This window comes from Homo sapiens, chromosome 13, assembly GCF_000001405.40.
Source record: "Homo sapiens chromosome 13, GRCh38.p14 Primary Assembly".
In the NCBI taxonomy this organism is placed as follows: domain Eukaryota; kingdom Metazoa; phylum Chordata; class Mammalia; order Primates; family Hominidae; genus Homo; species Homo sapiens.
Window position 1 is genome coordinate 76245685 of NC_000013.11, and position 19821 is coordinate 76265505.

At 36.1% G+C, this 19821-nt stretch overlaps 1 long non-coding RNA gene across 1 annotated transcript in view; it reads right to left on the reverse strand.

Moving 5' to 3' along the window:
• The window catches only part of LOC105370262 (uncharacterized), a 41390-nt gene that overhangs the window by 16170 nt on the left and 5399 nt on the right, over positions 1-19821 (reverse strand). Inside the window, exon 2 of the long non-coding RNA XR_942093.3 lies at positions 2147-2246. This is a non-coding gene — a long non-coding RNA (uncharacterized LOC105370262). The remainder of the gene's footprint in view (positions 1-2146; positions 2247-19821) is intronic.

Sequence of the window (19821 nt, forward strand, 5' to 3'; positions counted from 1 at the left end):
AAAACTATGCGTAAATGTATTTATACTTCTACCAAACGTTTAAAAAATTCATCTATTTGGTAATATGAAGAAACAAATATAAAATAGTTCTAGTTTAAATGACTATATACTGATTATTACATCTACAAAAGCAAGTGAAGCATTGACAAACATCATTTGAGAAACTGGGCTTTTCGTATAAATAACCTAGATGGGATCTTTCTGCTGAATCAATTCTCTGGATAAAACTAATTCTCCACTTTTTAAAAAACCTTTGTAAACAGTCTTCCTTAATTTTGTAAGATAAAGGAGCCCCTTCTAGCAATAAGCTCAGCTTAAAACAAGCACTGATTTCAAGTGAAAGTGTGGAATAATTTGGGAACATTTATTTTGCTGCCTTACATATGTGCAGACTGATTACATAATGACAAAGAGGTCAGGCTGCTTAACTCGACACAAGAGTACTCACTGGGGCAAAACCTGGAGTCTGTTCCTGTCTGTAATACAGGTTTATGTTTAGTACAGTGTTCACAGATCTTCCTGAAGTGAATCCCTCATGATTGTTTTACATGCCTTATTAGTTCTAAAACTTGTCCTACACATTAGTATTATCTAGACAAAATATACATACAATACCTTTGCTGACCACCAAAATCCAGAACACATAGAAAACTAAAGGAATATTGTAATCTGGCTCTGCTTTTTAATCTGACATAATTCCTTTCTATGTTCAAACAAAGCATTTCTCCCACCTTAGGGTTTTAGCATTTGCAATTCTCTATCACATGTTTGCTTCTTAATCATCAGGTTTCAGCTCTATACTGTCCTCCTCTATAAGAGGTATTTTTGGACCATTCAATGTAAAACAGATTCATCCAGTCCTTATCCAATCCATAATTTTTTCCTAGTTAAAATTGTCTTGTTTAATTATTTTTATGTTTATTGCGTGTCTCTCTTCACTAGGATGTAAAACATAAGACATCTCCATGAGCACACAGAAGAACAACTTCTTCTTCTTCTTCTTCCTCCTCCTCCTCCTCTTCCTTTTCTTCTTCCCCTTCCCCTTCTTTTTCTTCTTCTTCTTTTTCCTCTTCCTCCTTTTCCTATTCTTCCTCTTTCCTTCTCCTCTTTTTTTTTTTTTTCCAGACAGGGTCCCTCTCCCTGTCAACCAAGCTGAAGTGCAATGGCGTAATCATAGCTCATTGCAAACTCAAACTCCTGGACTCAAGCAATTCTCCCTCAGTTTCCTGAGTAGCTGGGATTATAGGAATGAGCACCTGTTTATTTATTTATTTGTTTGTTTTCACCACAGTGTTTAAAATACTGCCTGGCACATTACTAATGCTCAGAAAGATATTTTTGAATGAATAAATGACAAATGAAAATCAATGAATTTGTTTATATAGGGCTTGTTTTCTGGATCATAGTTAAATATAAACAAAGATTTACTCATCAATAAAAATTATGACACTTTCATTAGAACAAGTTACTAAACAAGGCTCTAGATTAAATCAATTAATAGAACAAGGGCAAAGTTGTGTCATTTATCACATACAGTTCAACTATTTACTATTATATAATAGCAAAAGCTCAAGTACTTTATAATACACATGGTACTTTGAATTCTATTTGGCAGATTTAGAATCCAAATTATTGAGCACATATTCTTTATTTGCTCAAGACATCAGTCTAACAGGGTGCAATGTGAAGGGACAGCTGGAATTAAAACCTATCTGAGTAAATACATAAAGGTAGTATTTTTAAACTTAAAATAGATTATATTTGAAGAATGAGGAAAAGATGACCCCATGACTCAAATGTAGTAGACTTTTAAAAGATGAGGTTGCCCTTGATGCTGCAGAAGATTAAACACTGCTAGACAAAACTGTAGGCTAAACTGATGAGATCTGCTCTAATTTATATTATCTTATGTGAACTAGTTCTAAGGTAGGTTGTTCTTTCTTTTCAGAGACTCTACTGGGTACTTCAGAGATCCCCAAACACTGGTCATCTGTGACCTGAAGTTCCACACAAGTGCATCTCTATTAACCATGCTGACCAGTTGTTTCTCATCCTCCATGTTGCTCCTCCAGATTTTTGGCTCAACAAAAATACCCTCGTTGTTTTGTGGTTCTATCCATATGCTTTTTCTGACAGTTTTACTTACTTCTTTTAGGAATGCTGCACTTATCTTGTCCATTACCCCTTCTTCAAGTGTTTATATATATCTCAACCAACTCTTTCACAATATTTGTTGATGTGGCCACCTGAAAAAAAAAAACTCTCCATGTAGTGGAAAGTTTACTAAATCTGGGAGCAGTTTACCCCATTGCTTGACTCTGAATTCTGATATAAAATTCTTCATATTAGGCAAAACTCTTTATACTTATAGTTTTTCTAAATTGATTCTGGTTTTCTTTTTGAAGCCTCTTCCATGTAAGATGCCTTTGAATATTTTTAGATATTTATTATGCCATTTCAAGTCTTCTCTTCTTCATTAAAGAGAAACATCCTTAGTTCAAAGTAGTTTGATGCTGGCCCACCCAGCTGGCCTCCACCTCCTTCAACAGCACCATCAAAAGTACTCCTTCTATAGCACTTCCAGTCCAGAGTTCTGGCCTCTATTGAAATACTGATTTGCTGGTCTGTTCATCTAGAGTCTAACTCCCTGAATAGCAAATGTGCTGGATAGGCTACTTCCTAAGACCAGAGAATCCTACTCCTGACATCAGGGACCTGCATTTATCAATGATAAACCCACCATATATCCCGTTCCTGTGAAAACTATATACCTTTCCCCATGTTATCCTAATTGCACTGCACGATGCTGGCATCTGCTGATCCAGCTGCCGACCATCTCTCTCCCTTTCAAAACTGCACAATTCCTCTGGAACTTCATTTCGTATTAAATATAACCCCATAGATACTCAAACTTTTTAGTAAACATTCCATACACTTTATTTCATTAGCTGAAAACTGCTTCCTTTCCTGTTTACACCTCCCTAAAAGCTGACATGATTCCATCATGTATTGTCCAAACTGGGATATTTTTTAGAGTAAATAGATAAAACCATTAGTAATTACAATATGAGATTAGGGGTAAACTGGGACTGGGACTGCCCTGAACAAACCAGGATGTATGTCCATAATAGTTTCCTGGGGCTGCCATAAGAAATGACCATAAATGAGTGGTTCAAGGTAACAGAAATGTATTCACATATAGTTGAGGAAACTAGAAGTCTGCAGTCAAGATGTCAGCAGGTTTCCTTCCTTTCAGAGGCTCTGAGGGAGAAGAAATCTCATGTTTCTCTCCTAGCTTCTTGTGGTTGCCAACAATTCTTTGCTGTACCTTGACTTTTAGATACATCACTCCGATCTCTGCCCATATTGTCACATTGCCTACTTAACTGTGTCACTCTCTTCTCCTACTCTATCTCTTGTTAGGGCTTACACTAAATGTCAGAGTCATTTTAATCCCATATGATCTTACCTTGATCTTTAATTACATCTGCCAAGAGCCTTAGTCCAAATAAGGTTACATTGTGAAGTTCAGGTCGGAATGGATTTTTGAGGGACATAGTTCAACACACCACAATGGTCAAACTACCTACAGGATGATGGTTCTTCTCCCACAGTCCATAGCTTTTGGAGTTGTGAGGTGCAGTTAACACATTCTCTCCCCGTGCCATTTCTACATTATTCCTTCATCTTGTATTAAAATATCCCTCTTGATACTCATGTCAGTTGGTTAAATCATATTCCTTTTTTTTTGTTTCAATCTCAGTCAAGTCCCTTCTTTTATCAAAACCTATTTAAGTTCAACATTCATATGAATAAAGCCTAATATCCCCAAAAAGTCATTCACTTGATAGTCTCTATTCCATCGACCTTTACCCCAACTCTGTTTCAGGTTTCTATTCCGTGACTCATATTATAGATAGTAAATTATAAAAATATCCATTTCAAAAATGGTTAAATGTCAGACATTTCATACAGTTTAACAAAATAGAATTTGTTCTCAATTCTCTGCCTGATATGGCTTGGATCTGCGTCCCCACCCAAATCTCATGTCAAATTGTAATCCCCATTGTTGGAGGTGGGGCCTGATGGGAGGTGATTGGATCATGGGGGCAGTTTCTCATTAATGGTTTAGTACCATCTCCTTGGTACTGTCCTCACAATGGTGAGTTCTCACATGATCTGGTCATTTAAAAGTATGTAGCAACTCCCCCCTCTAACTCGCTCCCACTCCCACCATGTGAGAGGCCTCTCTCCCGCTTTGCCTTCCACCATAATTGGAAGCTTCCTGAGGCCTGCCCAAAAGTAGAAGCCACTATGCTTCCCATACAGCCTGCAGAACCATTAGCCAATTAAACCTCTTTTCTTTCTAAATTACCCAGTTATAGGTATTTCTTTTTATCAGTGCAAGAAAGGACTAATAACAAAGGACTAATAACTTTACAGCAGTGCAAGAAGGACTGATAACTGCCTCATTGTCCTTCTGTCTTACTTTCCCCAAAACATCTCAATCCTCTGTCAAACTAATTGTCCCTTTTCTCTTGTCTCACACATGGTGTCTGTGGAAAATCCTACACTAAGGCAGATTGTTGCTACTTCATTTTGGTTTCCATAAATTATTGTGTTAGTGTTGCCTAGAGCTCTTCTTAGTCATCTCTTGACTGGTTCTTCACAGCGACTATTTCAAACCTTCTCCACTCTGTTCCAAGTTCCTACTTCCCACATCATCCTTCACACTCATCATGCTACCTGTCCTCCTACTTTATAAAGGAAAACAAAGCCAACAGATGGAAAATTTCTTCATTTTCTGACGTTCTATTTTAACATTTTGCTGCATTTACATCTTATTTTATCATTTCCATCCTACCACAATGGTATAAAATATCCCCACTTTTAATTTTAGAATAGTTTCTCTGCTTCAATTTTGCATACCATCCGTTTATCTTCAAGGATACTCCTCCACTGATTATTTCCTGTGTACCACTCTCTTATAGCTCCTACTTCAAGAAGCACTCCTATCAAATATTGAAAAAGCACTTACTATATTTTAGGTAACATGTAAAACTCTGTGAAATTAATAATGAACAAGATATTCACTGCCACTGCCTTCATGAAACTTATAATCCGTTTAACAAGAGACTAATTCAACAGACTACATTTTGTTTTCTTTTTTTTTTTTTTGAGACAGAGCCTCTCTCTGTCACCCAGACTGGAGTGCAGTGGCATGATCTCAGTGGCTCACTGCAACCTCTGCTTTCCAGGTTTAAGTGATTCTCCTGCCTCAGCCTCCCAAGTAGCTAGGATTACAGGCGCCTGCCACCATGCCCAGCTAATTGTATTTTTAATTGTAATTTGTATATTTAGTAGAGACGGGGTTTCACCATGATGATCTCGAACCCCAACCTCAAGTGATCCACCTGCCTTGGCCTCCCTCCCAAAGTGCTGGGATTACAGACGTGAGCCACTGCACCCAGCCAACAGACTATATTTTCTATTCATCAAATATTTTCTCCCATTTGTCTTTTAACTCTGATTTAGTATTTTGTCATACAAAAATATTCTTGTCTTAATTTGATTTGTGTTCTATTTTTACATAGTCAAAGTTTTCTTTCTTTAATTGCATGTAGATTTGCGACATAGTTAAAAAGACTTTTCTAACATCCAGGCTGTAGAGTAATTCTCCACATTTTCTTCTAGTACTTTCATGGTTCCTTTTTTTCACAATTATATTTTCTGATAATTTTGAGTTTATTCTTTGTATGGTAAGGTATCAAACTATTTTTTTTCCTACCCAATGAATATCCAGTTGATACAACCCCATTTCTTAAAAGGTCTATCTTTGCAGCTGTAATTTTTGATACTATCTAACTTTATCAATTACTAAATTTTCACCTGTAGTTTATTACTAGACTTTCTATTCTATTCCACCGGTCAATCTGCCTTCTTAGGTACCAGTTCCATGCTATTTAGAGAGGCTTTGTAGCTTGTTTTAATATGTGCAGCTATTCCTCTCTCATATCTTTTTCAGTGCCTTCTTAGCTATTCCTGAATGATGACTTTTAAAAATCAACTTGTGCAGATTAAAAAACTGATGATATTTTTGTTGGGATTAAATTAAATCTATTAATTAACTTAGGGGGAGAACTCACATCTGCATAATTTTGAATTATTTTTATCCAAGAACAAGGGATATCTTTTTATTAGTTTCAAGGCTACTTTTGTGCTTTTCAGGAGGGTTTTAACTTTTCTGTATATAGTTTTGCAATTTCTTGATAGCTAATTTTTTCTAAGTATTTTTATATTGCTACTGTTAATATAATTTTCTCTTTCATCACATCTTCAAACCTGTTATTGTTTGTATATATAGGGTACTGGGTTTTGTCTGTAATTTTTGATCCTATTTCCTTACTAAATTCTTTTATACTTTGGATTTATCATTGTTTCTCTGGGTTTTCCAGGTGCATTATCATATCATCTGCTGATAAAGAAAGTTCTGCTGCTTTAATTCTCATTTATTTACTTACTTTTTACTGTTTTAATTGCATTGGCTGACACTTTTAATATAACATTACATAGAAGTGGATATTGTGATCATTCTTGTTCCCGACCATAATGGAAAAGCCTTTTGTGCCTCCTGATTAAGTAAGAAACTGGCTTTAGAATTATGTTTTTATAACATTGAATAGTACCATCCATTTATAATTTGAGTACTTTTATGATAAATAGATGTTGAATTTTCAGCATCAATGGAGAGAAACATGTTTTTTCTTCTTATGCCTATTAATTTCTTGAATGTTATTAAATATTCTGATTAATATTAAACCACATTCACATGGCTGGTATAAATCCCATCCCAACTTTGTATTAGTCTGTGCAGGCAACCATAACAAAATACCATAGACTGAGTGGCTTAAACAACCCAGAAATATGTTTCTCACAGTTCTGGGGACTGAGAAGTCCAAGATCAAGGTGCCAGCAAGGTAGATTTCATTCTGAAGTCTCGTCTCTTGGCATGTAGGCAGCCATGCTCTTCTTGTGTACTTACTTGGTCTCTTGTTTGTGCACATGTGAAGAGACAATGATCTCTCTAGTGTCTCTTCTTATGAGGATACTAATCCTATGGGATCATGACTTCTACCCTTATGAGCTTGTAAACTCTATTTTTATAAAGATCCTATCTCCAAATACAGTCACATTGGGGATTAGAGCTCCAACATATGAATTTGGGGGATACAAACCTACATTCCATAATATTTTGCCCCTTCTTCCTCCCCCAAATTTATGTATTTATTGCATACAAAATACATTCATTCCACCTCTCTCAAAAGACTTAACTCATTCCAGCATCAACTCTAAAGTCTAAAGTCCAAATTCTTATCTGAATACCATTCATCTAAATATGGATAAGACTGAAAGTACAGTTCATCCTTAGGCAAAATTTGTCTCCAGTTGTGAACCTGTGAGAGCAGACATGTTGTGTACTTCTAAAATACAAAGTAGGACAGAGCTAAGGCAAACATTCCCATGCCAAAAGGGCTAAATAAGAAGGAAGGAAAGGTGATGATTCCCAAATAAGTTCAGAGCTTAGCAAGGAAAACTGCATTAGATTTTAAGTCTTAAGAATAATTTTATTTGGTTCAATGTTCTGCCCTCCAGGCCTACTGGGGTGGCAGCATCAGCCCCATGGCTCTGTGGGGTGGCCTTATTTTGTTTTGCTAGGAGAGCGAACTCTGCCCACAGGTCTCTCTTTGGTGGCCCTACTCTCTGCAGCCCCAAAAGAAAGCCTTTCTCCATCGGCCTTTGGTAGGAGTTGCTGTCTTGATCTCTAAATCCCTTTGGGCCATTCTTCCCTTTACTTAAAGAATATCACACATTTATAGCCTGTACTAGTCTGTACTCACACTGCTAATAAAGACATACTCAAGAATGGGTTATTTATAAAGGAAAGAGGTTTAACTGACTCACAGTTCCACATGGTTGCGGAGGCCCCACAATCATGGCTGAAGGCTAATGAGGAGCAAAGTCACGTCTTACATGGCAGTAGGCAAGAGAGCTTGTGTAGGGGAACTCCCTTTTATAAAGCCAACAGAACTCATGAGACTTATTCACTATCTTGAGAACAGCAAGGGAAAGACCCGCCCCTTGATTGAATTACCAGCCCCGAGGTCCCTTCCATGACATGTGGGAATTATGGGAGCTACAATTCAAGATGAGATTTGGGTGGGGACACAGCCAAACCATATCATAGCCAAATAACTATATGGTTCAGTCTTGTAGAATCCAAGAAATCTGGCAACCTTTCATTCAGTTTTGTTTTTTCTCTTCCCTGTAATTGAAACTGTCAGTGTCTCTGCTGGTATAATCCTCTCTCTATTCCTGGATTCTTCTGAGATGGCTGATTAAGCCCATGAGGTGAACCCATGATCTATTCATCAAATGATTGTTCAGTCACAACCCTAGTGTTCTTTTAAGAACAAGATTTCTCATTTTTTCAATGTAGATAGGCCATAAATTTTCCAAATCTTCAAGATCTGATTCCTTTTTACCCTAGCAGTATTTTCTCCAATTGTCTCTCTCCTCTTGCCTTTTATATTATAAGCACTCAGGGGAAACCAAGCTAATCCTTGAACACTTTGCTTAGAAATCTCCTCAGCTAAATATCATATTTCACTGCTTGCACGTTCTACCTTCTACAAAACATTTGAACACAGTTCAGCCAAGTTTTCTGCGACTTTATAACAAGGACTGTCTTTTCTCCAGTTTCCAATAACTTTTTTTTTCCTGAGACCTCACCAGAATGACCTTTAATGTCCACATTTCTGCCAACATTCTGTTCATGACTATTTATGTATTCTTTAAAAAGCTGGAAGCTTTCTCTCCAGCTCTCCTCTTTTCTGTCTGAGTCTTTACTGAAATCTCCTTTAACATTCGTATTTCTTACCAACAATACAATCCAGGCATTTTATAGCATACACTTCTTACCTCCTCCATCCTCTACCTGTTACCTATTTCCAAGAGGCAGGAGAATCACTGCCTATTTCCAAACACCTATTTCCAAAGCCACTCTTACATTTTTAGGTATGTCCTATAACAGCACCCAAATTCTCTGTACCAAAATCTGTGTTAGTTTGCTCAGGCTGCCATAACAAAATATCACAGATTGGGTAGCTGAAAAAAAACATAATTGTTTTTTCTCACAGTTCTAGAGGCTGGGTAGTCTAAGATCAAGATACCAGATAATTTGCTTCTGGGTAAAGGCTGTCTTCCTGTGAGAGCAGGAGCAAACTCTCTGGTGTCTCTTCTTATATGGACATTAATTCTGCCAGACCAGGGCCTTACTCTTGTGATTTCATCTAACCTTAATTATCTCTTAAAAGCCCCATCCTGAAATACTATCATGTTGAGTGGTAGGGCTTCAACATGTGAATTTTAGGGGAACACAAACATTCAGCCCATAACAGACATGGTGTATTACTGGTGGTATTGGAGTCTACTCTCTAATATTTCATTTTAAAACTGCAATACTTACAAGAAATATTAGTCCATGATTTCCTTTGTTAACTATCTTTAACAGGTTATAGAACAATATCATTCTTGCTTCATAAATGAACTTAAATATTTTTAATCATTTTTCATATTCTAACTTGTCTTTAAAAGTTTGGAAGAATTAGTTGGTGAAGCCATTTATGATACTATTTTTCTAAAGTAATTCATTTACAACTGTATTGCAGCTATGAAAATGTACATCTTTAATTCTTCTAGACTTAATGGAGTTAATGTTGGTAAACTAAATTTTTGTCTAAAGTTATTTATTTGTATAGAGATCTGCCTGTAGTTCTCAATAGTGAAGTGACTGGGGACTGATCTAGAAGTATTTATTCCAATTTTTAAAAATTAAGACTAAAGTCTAAATTTTGAATTTTTTTTGTGTTCAGGTATCATGGAACATACATATTATAATAATATGTTTTTCATTGTTATAATCATTGTTTCTACCCATCTGCATCTCATTTGTTATTTTTCTTTTATACAAGAATATGCCTTTACTGCTACCTAGTCAGGAGATTGATGATAGATTCCTCAAGGTCAGGAACCTGTCTTCTCCTCACTATAATATACCATAGAGTACAAAACTCATAGTGTTCAGCAAATATATATTATTATAAAAAGCAATATGGATCATAATAGATGTTTGACGTTTCATAATAATCTTCTAACAGCATGTTATCATGCAGTACCCCATGCTAAGAACAAAAATTGACTTAAGAAAACATATCTTTGTATATAACTTGTAATAAAATCATAGCTATATAATTTTGTTAGACTCTGCAAATAACTCTAAATAATGTATTTAGAGAGTAGCAATTGTCAAGAAGTATGAATAAGAAATGATAATTTGACATTTAAAAGAGTGAAAGTTTTACGCCATTAACCATAAACAGAGAAATACATGAGAACAAAAAAAATGTGCCAAAGGAAATATTTATGAACTAGTTGGAGTTCAAGGACAAGTGCATTTAACATCTAAACGAAGTTCACTGTTTTTTTTATGTCCTTGTCAAAGATTGACTTTCACTTACTTTCACTCAATAAATGAATGGCAGTTTGGCTTTTCACAGAGGTAGGATTCCAGGGATCCATTAAACCTTTCTAAATGTCATTAATGTCATGATCATACATTTTTTTGAGAGGTAACCATTTCTTCAGGTTGGTCTTGTTAATGAATCTTCGCATTCTCTATTAGCATCATTATCGAACATGAAAACAAGGTAGAAGCATCACCATTAGAGTATCAAGTGAACACCAGCACAGCACTTTTCTGAGTCACTGATCTGCTGCCAGCAATAAGCAGTCTATCAAGGGGACAGTGACCTTCAGATAAACTTTACTTTATCTGTAATGTTTCATTGATTATAGGCTTCTTTTAGCAGGGGATATAAAATGTAGATCCTGTTACTAAAAATCATGATAAATAATTTCACATAGTATCATTTCTGAGCAAAATTTCATCTGAAAATAGTGAATGAAGTATTTATAAGAAAATATTCTTTTGGTCTAAGTATGAATGGTCTATTTTCATAATTTGTATTTTACCTGCTGTGTTTAAATAGCAACCAGCCAGAATATGCCATTAAATTTCAAATTTTCAGACACAATTTAATGCACAAAAATAAAACTTGCAAACTGATTCAGATTAATCAAGTATGACTGTTCCAAATGCACCACATGATGTTGCACAAGCTTTTAAAAATGTTTATTTCAACACATTAGATTCTTTGCACTGCATTATTGTACCCTTTGGGTCAAGGAAAGGAAAGTTTTATGCATAGAATTAACTGCCATATACATCTGTAGAGCCATAGATGTGTATGACAGTAGGGATGACACGTGTTATGGTTTAGATATATCAATAAAAGTTATTTAACAACCTACCTTTTACATAGTATAAATATGAGAACAATTCTCTACATAATTTATAAATAAATTCATTAGGTATTTCAAGTGTGTGATCTATTTACTTATGAGTTCTGGGAGACATTTGAGAAGAAAATTATGATCTGCCTTTTTCTGAAATGTTTTGTAGTTGAAGCAAGATGTTTAGCCTTGATTTGTCTTAGTTGTTTTTTTATTTACAATTCTCACCTTTGCTTTGCATTTCTGGGCTTAGCCTGAGGCCAATCACGGTCTGAATGTAGCTATGGATCATCAGGCTATGTCTGATGTGCACTGATTTTACTTGGCCAAAATGTCCCATTGGCTTTAGTTATTATATTGATGATAAGCTTCATTTAAATATTATTGATATTATTTAGGTGATGTAGATTTTTGATCTTTGATGTTTACACAATAGATAGTGAGTACATTTGAATGTATATTTCTTTGCTTGCCATTAAAAAAAAACAAGCAGCTTATCTGCTTAAATATACAAATGTATTGGAACCTCACACACTCCTCTAAGGCCAAGTAGTGAAAATATTTTCGGTGAGAAAGTGTTGGCATTTCTAGCAGTAAAATCTTGATAATCCATTATGATTAAAATTAATTTCTCTACTGCCCCCTCCAAAATAGAGGACACTTTATTCCCTATCTCAATTCATGAATCAAGCTGGAATTCCTGTTGTCATGGTCGCTCCTCTTTCCTCCAACTTTATTTTCACTAATTTGTGTCAATTCTTCCTGTCCAATGTCTTTCAAGTCATTCAACTCCATTCTTTCCTCACTTTCAAAGATATATTTCATCTTCAGGTTTCATGTGCAATTTCTGGGCCTTCGTTTCTGATGCCATGAAAGAATATCATAATGCAAGGGTGGGAAGATGTTATTAGCATAGGAACACAGGAACAACTTTTAATCTGCTGTAGTTAATTAAAATGCTTCATAAAATATATGCCAAAGTTGATCATTGTACAGCATTAGGTCTTGGTACAATTGCTGAAAAATAATATGGTCTATATTGTGTACTCTGTTGCCAGTTATTAAAAATAATTTTGGTGATGTCAGTTCCTTTTACAACAAACCATACAAATTCTGCATTGCCTGTAGGATAAGGTTCAAACTTCTTGGAAAGCCATACAAATCTCAACAATATAATTTTGGCACATATATCTCCTACAATGTGTGTGTATATACGAGTTATGAAGAGTTATGGGCCAGGCACGGTGGCTCATACCTGTAATCCCAGAACTTTGGGAGGCTGAGGTGGGTGGATGACCTGAGGTCAGCAGTTTGAGACCAGCCTGGCCAACACCGTGAAACCCCATCTCTACTGAAAATACAAAATTAGCCAGGTGTGCTGGTGGGCGCCTGTAATCTCAGCTACTTGGGAGGCTGAGGCAGGATAATCCCTTGAATCCAGGAGGCAGAGGTTGCAGTGAGCCGAGATCATGCCATTGCACTCCAGCCTGGGTGACAAGCGTGAAACTCTCTCTCAAAAAAAAAAAAAAAAAAAAAAAAAAAAAAAAAAAAAAAAAAGTTATGAATTGTTGGAATAACTCTAGGCACATATATACATACCTTGTAGGATTCATATACTATAGAACATCAATGTATGACAATTGGTTTTATTGACTATGAACTAGTAATTAATAGAAGTCATTACAGAGCAGACTGTTGTCAATTTTACTTAAATCAGCATGTCTCTAAGATAGAGCTCAAAATTGTACCATACCCACTTTGGCTCTGTTTCAAATGCACTGTGGGGAGGTGTCTATCTACAAGGTAATTAACGAAACATTTTATTTTCAATCTCAATCTATTGTTGTCTTTATAAATTCCTGGTTTTAACCTGAGAGTTTTTATATATTCAAGTAATTTTAATAAAATGAGAAAAATGTGAAGACATTACCAAATAAAAGAGTCAAGTTAAATATTGGGGAAGACAGGAATGCAAGGGACATTATAAAAATACAATTGGCCCTTGAGCGACTAGAGGGTTAGGGTGCTGACCTCCTGCACAGCCAAAACTCTGCAGATAACTTTGAATCCCCCAGAACTTAAGTACTGATAGCCTACTGTTGATGGGGAGCCTTATAGATAACATTATCAATTAATATATATGTATTATATACTGTATTTGTACAGAAAAGTCAACTGAATAAAATAAATTGTTATTAAGAAAATTATAAGGAAGAGATAATATATTTACTCTCCGGTAAGTGGAAGTGTATTATTAAGGTCTTTATCCTCTTTGTCCTCACATTAGGTAGGCTGAGGAGGAGGAAGAATAGGAAGGGTTGGTCTTGTCTTAAGAGTGGCAGAGGTGAAAGAAAATCCACGTATAATGAATCTGTGGAGTTCAAACCTGCATTGTTCAACCTGTGTTACAGTATTATTATTGCAGTCTAAGGCATCCTGGCAGTATACAAAACTTGCTACCCTGTTTGTTTTCTAATTTCTCTTTCCTCCCAACTATAATGCTTTTCCCAATTCCAGTGAAATACTTTCTTTTTCAAAGTGCAAATGTTTTAAAAATTTAAGAGTAAAGGAGACCTAATGTTAATTCAACTATTCAAATTAAAGAAAATTTATTGGACATTTATTGTTTGCAATGCACAGTTTCAGTGCTAACAATTATAACTTTCTAACAATTCACAGTGTAACTGAAGAGACAGTTGCATAAATATCTCTGTACAATAAGGAAAGATAGAGACTCATTCTCTTTCTGTGCTCTGAGACTTTCACTGAATGGCACTCTTGACCACCCAGTGGAAAGATCACTTTACCTGCTTCCTCCATAGTCTTTTTTTTTTTTCTTTTTTTTTTTTTTTTGAGACGGGGTCTCGCTCGGTCGCCCAGGCTGGAGTGCAATGGTGCGATCTTGGCTCACTGCAACCTCCGCCTCCCAGGTTCACGCCATTCTCCTGCCTCAGCCTCCCAAGTAGCTGGGACTACAGGTGCCCGCCACCACACCAGGCTAATTTTTTGTATTTTTAGTAGAGATGGGGTTTCACCGTATTAGCCAGGATGGCCTGGATCTCCTGACCTCGTGATCCTCCCACCTCGGCCTCCCAAAGTGCTGGGATTACAGGCGTGAGCCACTGCGCCCGGCCCATATTCTCTTTCAAAAGCAGTCACCAACCTCGGTGAAGTGAATCATATTTTCCACCATTCATTTTTGCTCTTGCCTGGCATCTTCTATCTACCTACCCACCTATCCATCTAAATTCATAAGTAAGTTATTCTTATACCTTCACTATCTATATTTACCACATCATCATGTCTTATTGATTCTATCTCCAAAATAATAAATCTTAAATGTGTCCACCACTATGGCAGTGCCCAACTCTAAACAACACCAGAGTAGGCATTTTAAAAAGTATATTGAATCCTGTCTATTCCTAGCTTAAGCACAAATTTATCACTGCTATATGTAACACTCTGCATGATCTCAACTCATCCTTGATTCCTCCTACTAGCACATATTTATTGAGAGCCCAAGAATGCCAAGCTCAGTGCTGCATATACAATAGTGCGGAAGATGCATATGTTGTCTTGCTTTTAACAATCTTATATTCTAGTTGAGGATATGGAAACAGTCATGTGAGTAAACAAATAAATCAATTATAATACATTTTGATGAATGCCATAAAGGAAACAAATTTGGTTCTAAACCATAATGGGATTAGGGAGCACCTATTAGATACAGTAGCCAGAAAAACCAATGAGGAGGTCACTTAAGAAGAAAAGGCTTAGACTGAAGGAGCCAGCCACAGGAAGAGTGGGGACAAAGCATTTCAGGCACAGAGATCTGTATGTCTAAAATCCATGAAATGGGGACCAGAAAAAGCCTGAGTGAAAAAATCAAAGTAATATAAAAGGAGAGGGTCAGGAAAAGTGGTAGAGGAGTAGGTAAGGGCTTGTTGATTTGGTTTGGCTGTGTCCCCACCCAAACCTCATCTTGAATTTTAGTTTCCACAATTTCCACATGTCCTGGAAGGGACCAGGCGGAGATAATTGAATCATGGGGGCAGTTTCCCCCATCCTGGTCTCATGATAGTGAGTTAGCTCTCACGAGATCTGATGGTTTTATAAGAGGCCTCCCCCCTTTTCTGGGCACGCATTCTCCCTTCTGCTGCACTGTGAAGAGGTGCCTTCCAACATGATTGTAAGTTTTTTGAGGCCCCCCAAGCAATGCAGAATCATGAGTCAATTAAACCTCTTTCCTTTATAATAAATTCCCAGTCTCAGGTATGTTTTTATTATAGTGTCAACGGACTAATGCACTTGTTTTTTTTTTTTTTTTTTTCTGCTTAACAATTACACAAACTTACTGGCTTCAAACAACACACAGTTATTACCTAACTCACAGTATTTGTAGGGAAGGAGTCTGGATATAGATTAACTGATGCTCAGCTCAGAATCTTAGTCTCACAAGGCTGCAATCATGGTGTTAGCCAGTGTCTTTTTTTCTGGAGCTTAGTTTACATGGTTGTCAGCAGGTTTCATTTTCTTGCACTTGTATAACTGAGGTATCCATTTTTCACTGGTTTCCAGCCAAAGTTCATTCTCAACTCTTACAGGTCATTCAAAGTTCCTTGCCACATGAACGTCTCACAGCCCCCTTTATAACATGCTATCTGACTTCTTCAAAGCCAGCAGGAGAATCTCTTGCTCCCATCAGCTATAATGTGATCTTATATAGTGTAATTACACAGTGACATCTTTGCCAAATTCTATTGGTTACAAACAAGTCACAGTTTTCATTGCACTCAAACAAAGAGGGTTGTGCAAAGACGTGACTCATTGGGGACCACCTTAGCGTGTTTCTGCTGCAAGACTCAATCATGTAAGTCACAGTTTGGAATTTGGATTTATTCTGGATGGAATGAGATGTTGTGGAAGGGAAGGAAGAAAGATGAAAGGAAAATAGTTAATGAGGCTCAAATCATGTCCCAGGGAATTATGAGGTAATGTGTACTTAATTCTGTTTATTGACTCAGATATTTCTTGGAGAAGATGGGCTCTAGGATAATAGGACTGGTGGATGAACACAGAAAGAGATAACATCAGAGGAAGATAAAATCTTTGCATAGACTGCAGGTAGACACGAGCAGCAGCAGGATGTGCTTGGGGAAGAGCAAGTAGCACACACTTATCAGAGTGCTCAGGATGCACCAGTTCAATAGTACACAGAAATCCAATGGATTTGAAAGCAGTAGGCTATTTTATATGGTCTTAAATGGAATCTATATTATCAGATATCTTAGTTTGGAAGGTAAGCCTGGTGCTACCAATAGAGAGAATGAATTGGAGGAAGAATTCATCAGACCAGTTAAGGAGATCATTATTTTCAGAGAATTAACAAAATTTTTAATACATTTTGAAATCTTTGAACTCCACATCAAGCATCAGAATAAGTTTCTTTAAAAACACCGTATCCTAATTAGTAAATGGAATAAATCTTTTGTTTGTTTGCAGGGACTCCTCTGAAGGATGGTTTTAACACATCTAGAAAGAACTAGGTACTGTGCCTTTAATCAGCGAGTTTCAGTTTTAGGACAAAGGAATTAGGGGTAAGGAATAAGGGTTTGTAATCAATGTGTCTGCTAAGTAGAAAATTATTACTTCCATTGGAACCGGAATCCTGGTTCCTCTGTTTAATCTTTGCATCCCCAATCGCTGACAACATACTAGATCCTTCAAAATTATTTTTAAATGGACAAATAAATGGTCACATCAAATAAATGTTATTCTTATTGTAACCTCCAGAGCACCACCTCTGTCCATCCCCTCTTTCCTGCTTTTTTTTTTTAACCTTCTGATGTCCAAAGACATCAGGAGATTTGAGGCATATTCTAATCTTAAAATCTCAATGCATTAATTTTTATCTTACTTTGTATTAAAATGAAGTTATGTAGATTGTCTTATTCATAGACTCTATGTAATGCATGAGATAATTCATAAGATGTATGGCAAACTTAAATTGCTTGAGTACTAATGATGATTATACAGAGATTTGCACTGTTTTTGAAATTAAATTTAGATAATTCTTTATCTTAAAACTTCTATCGAATGCCATTCTGGGTTATGAATGACTATCCCCTAGGATATTAGTTCAGAAGAAACAAGTGATAATTGTGAGATAAGATAAAATAGAAGAAACCAATGTTTATTAGTGCATGACTAAAGGTATGTTTGATATTTTCTTCAACACAAATATTTAAATATCCTTTCTGGAACTTTTAAATAAATAGCATATTAGCATTTAGAATTGTTTAGGATACTTACGTGTTCTTGTTCATTAATTTTCATTATTATTAAAGCAGGATAATGCTTTTTTTTTCACTTTAAATAATTCTAGCAGGCCGGTTATAGTGGCTCATGCCTATCATCCAATGCTTTGGGAGGCTAAGGAGGGAGGATTGCTTGAGGTCATGAGTTCAAGACCAGCCTGGGCAACATAAATAGCCAGGCATGATGACGCTTGTAGTCCCAGGTCCCAGCTACTCCGGAGGCTGAGGTGGGAGGATCACTTTAACACAAGAAGTCGAGGCTGATGTAAACTGTGATCAGTGATCATGCCACTACACTTCAGCCTGGGCAACAAAGAGAGACCCTATCTCAAACAAATAAAAAAAATTACAATCCTGTTCAGTATACACAAGTCAATAAATGTGATTCACCACATAAACAGATTAAAAGCAAAAACCATATAATCATCTCAATAGACTGAGAAAAAGCTATCGATAAAATCCAATATCTGTTCATGATAAAAACAATCAACAGACTAGTCATTGAAGGAACATACCTAAAATGATAAGAGCCATCTAATGACAAACCCACAGCCAACATCACACTGAACAGGCAAAAGCTGGAACTATTTCCGTTGAGAACTGGAACAAGACAAGGATGCCCATGCTCACCACCCCCACTATTCAACATAGTGCTGGAAGTCCTAGCCAGAGCAATCAGGCAAAAGAAAGAAATAAAAGGCATCCAAATAGGAAAAGAAGAGGTCAAAGGATCTCTCTTCACTGACAATGTGATTTTATACTTAGAAAATGCTAAATAATCCACCAAAAGGCTTCTAGAATGGGTGAATGACTTCAGTAAATTTTCAGGATGCAAAGTCAATGTGCGAAAACCAGTAACATTTCTATACACCAATAACACCGAGGTTGAGATTCAAATCAAGAACATAATCCCATCTATAATAACCACATACACAAAAATGAAATACCTAGGAATAAGCTAAGCAAGAAGATGAAAGATCTCTACAAGGAGATCTGCAAAACACTGCTGAAACAAATTAGAAATGACACAAATAAATGGAAAAACAGTGCATGCTCATGAATTGGAAGAATCAATATCATTAAAATGGCCATACTGCCCAAAGCAATTTACAGATTCAACATTCCTCCTATCAAACTACCAATGTCATTCTTCACAGAGTTAGAAATACTCTTCTAAAATTCATATGGAACTGAAAAATGAACCCAAATAGCCAAAGCAATCCAAAGCCAAAAACAAAACAAAACATAAACAAAAGACAAAGCCAGTGGCATCACACAACCCAACTTCAAACGATACTATAAGGCTACAGTAACCAAAGCAGCATGGCAATGGTACAAAAACAGACACATAGACCAATGGAACAAAATAGAGAACTCAAGAATGAAGCCACACACCTACCAATTATCTGATCTTTGACAAGGCCAACAGAAACAAGCAATGGAGAAAGGACTTCTTATTCAATAAATGATGCTGGGATAATGAATGTATAGAATGTGTTCATATGCAGAAGAATGAAATTGGACCCTTACCTTTCACTATATACAAAAATTAACTCAAGATGGATTAAAGATTTAAACATAAGACTTCAAACTATAAAAATCCTAGAAGAAAACCTAGGAAATACTTTTTTTTGATATCAGCCTTGGCTAATTTTTGGCTAAGTCCCCAAAAGCAATTGCAGAAAACCCAAAAATTGACAACCTAGAGAACTGGAGAAAATATAGTGGGGATAGATAAGTTAATATGTGTAACTTGCTTAGAAAAGCACCTGTCACTTGGGAAATGCTGTATACAATTAGCCATGACCAGTAAATTTTGGAAAAGAATAGCTTTTATTTTATTGTCTAAAGGGATTGGATATTTCAACAGGATACTGTATAGATTATGCAGTGAAGGAAAATACTTTGTTAGAAATCAGCAAAGAAGTAAAAATAGAAAAGAAACAGTCGAACCAAGCTTTTATGAATATTTATGTACCTAAAACTAATTTCTGTTGCTTTCACTAACAGAGGATGTTTTGAATGAGCAACTATTTCTTCTACCCAATTCATTTTCTCCAAAGATTATAGCTTTGTTTATGATAAAGTCTGA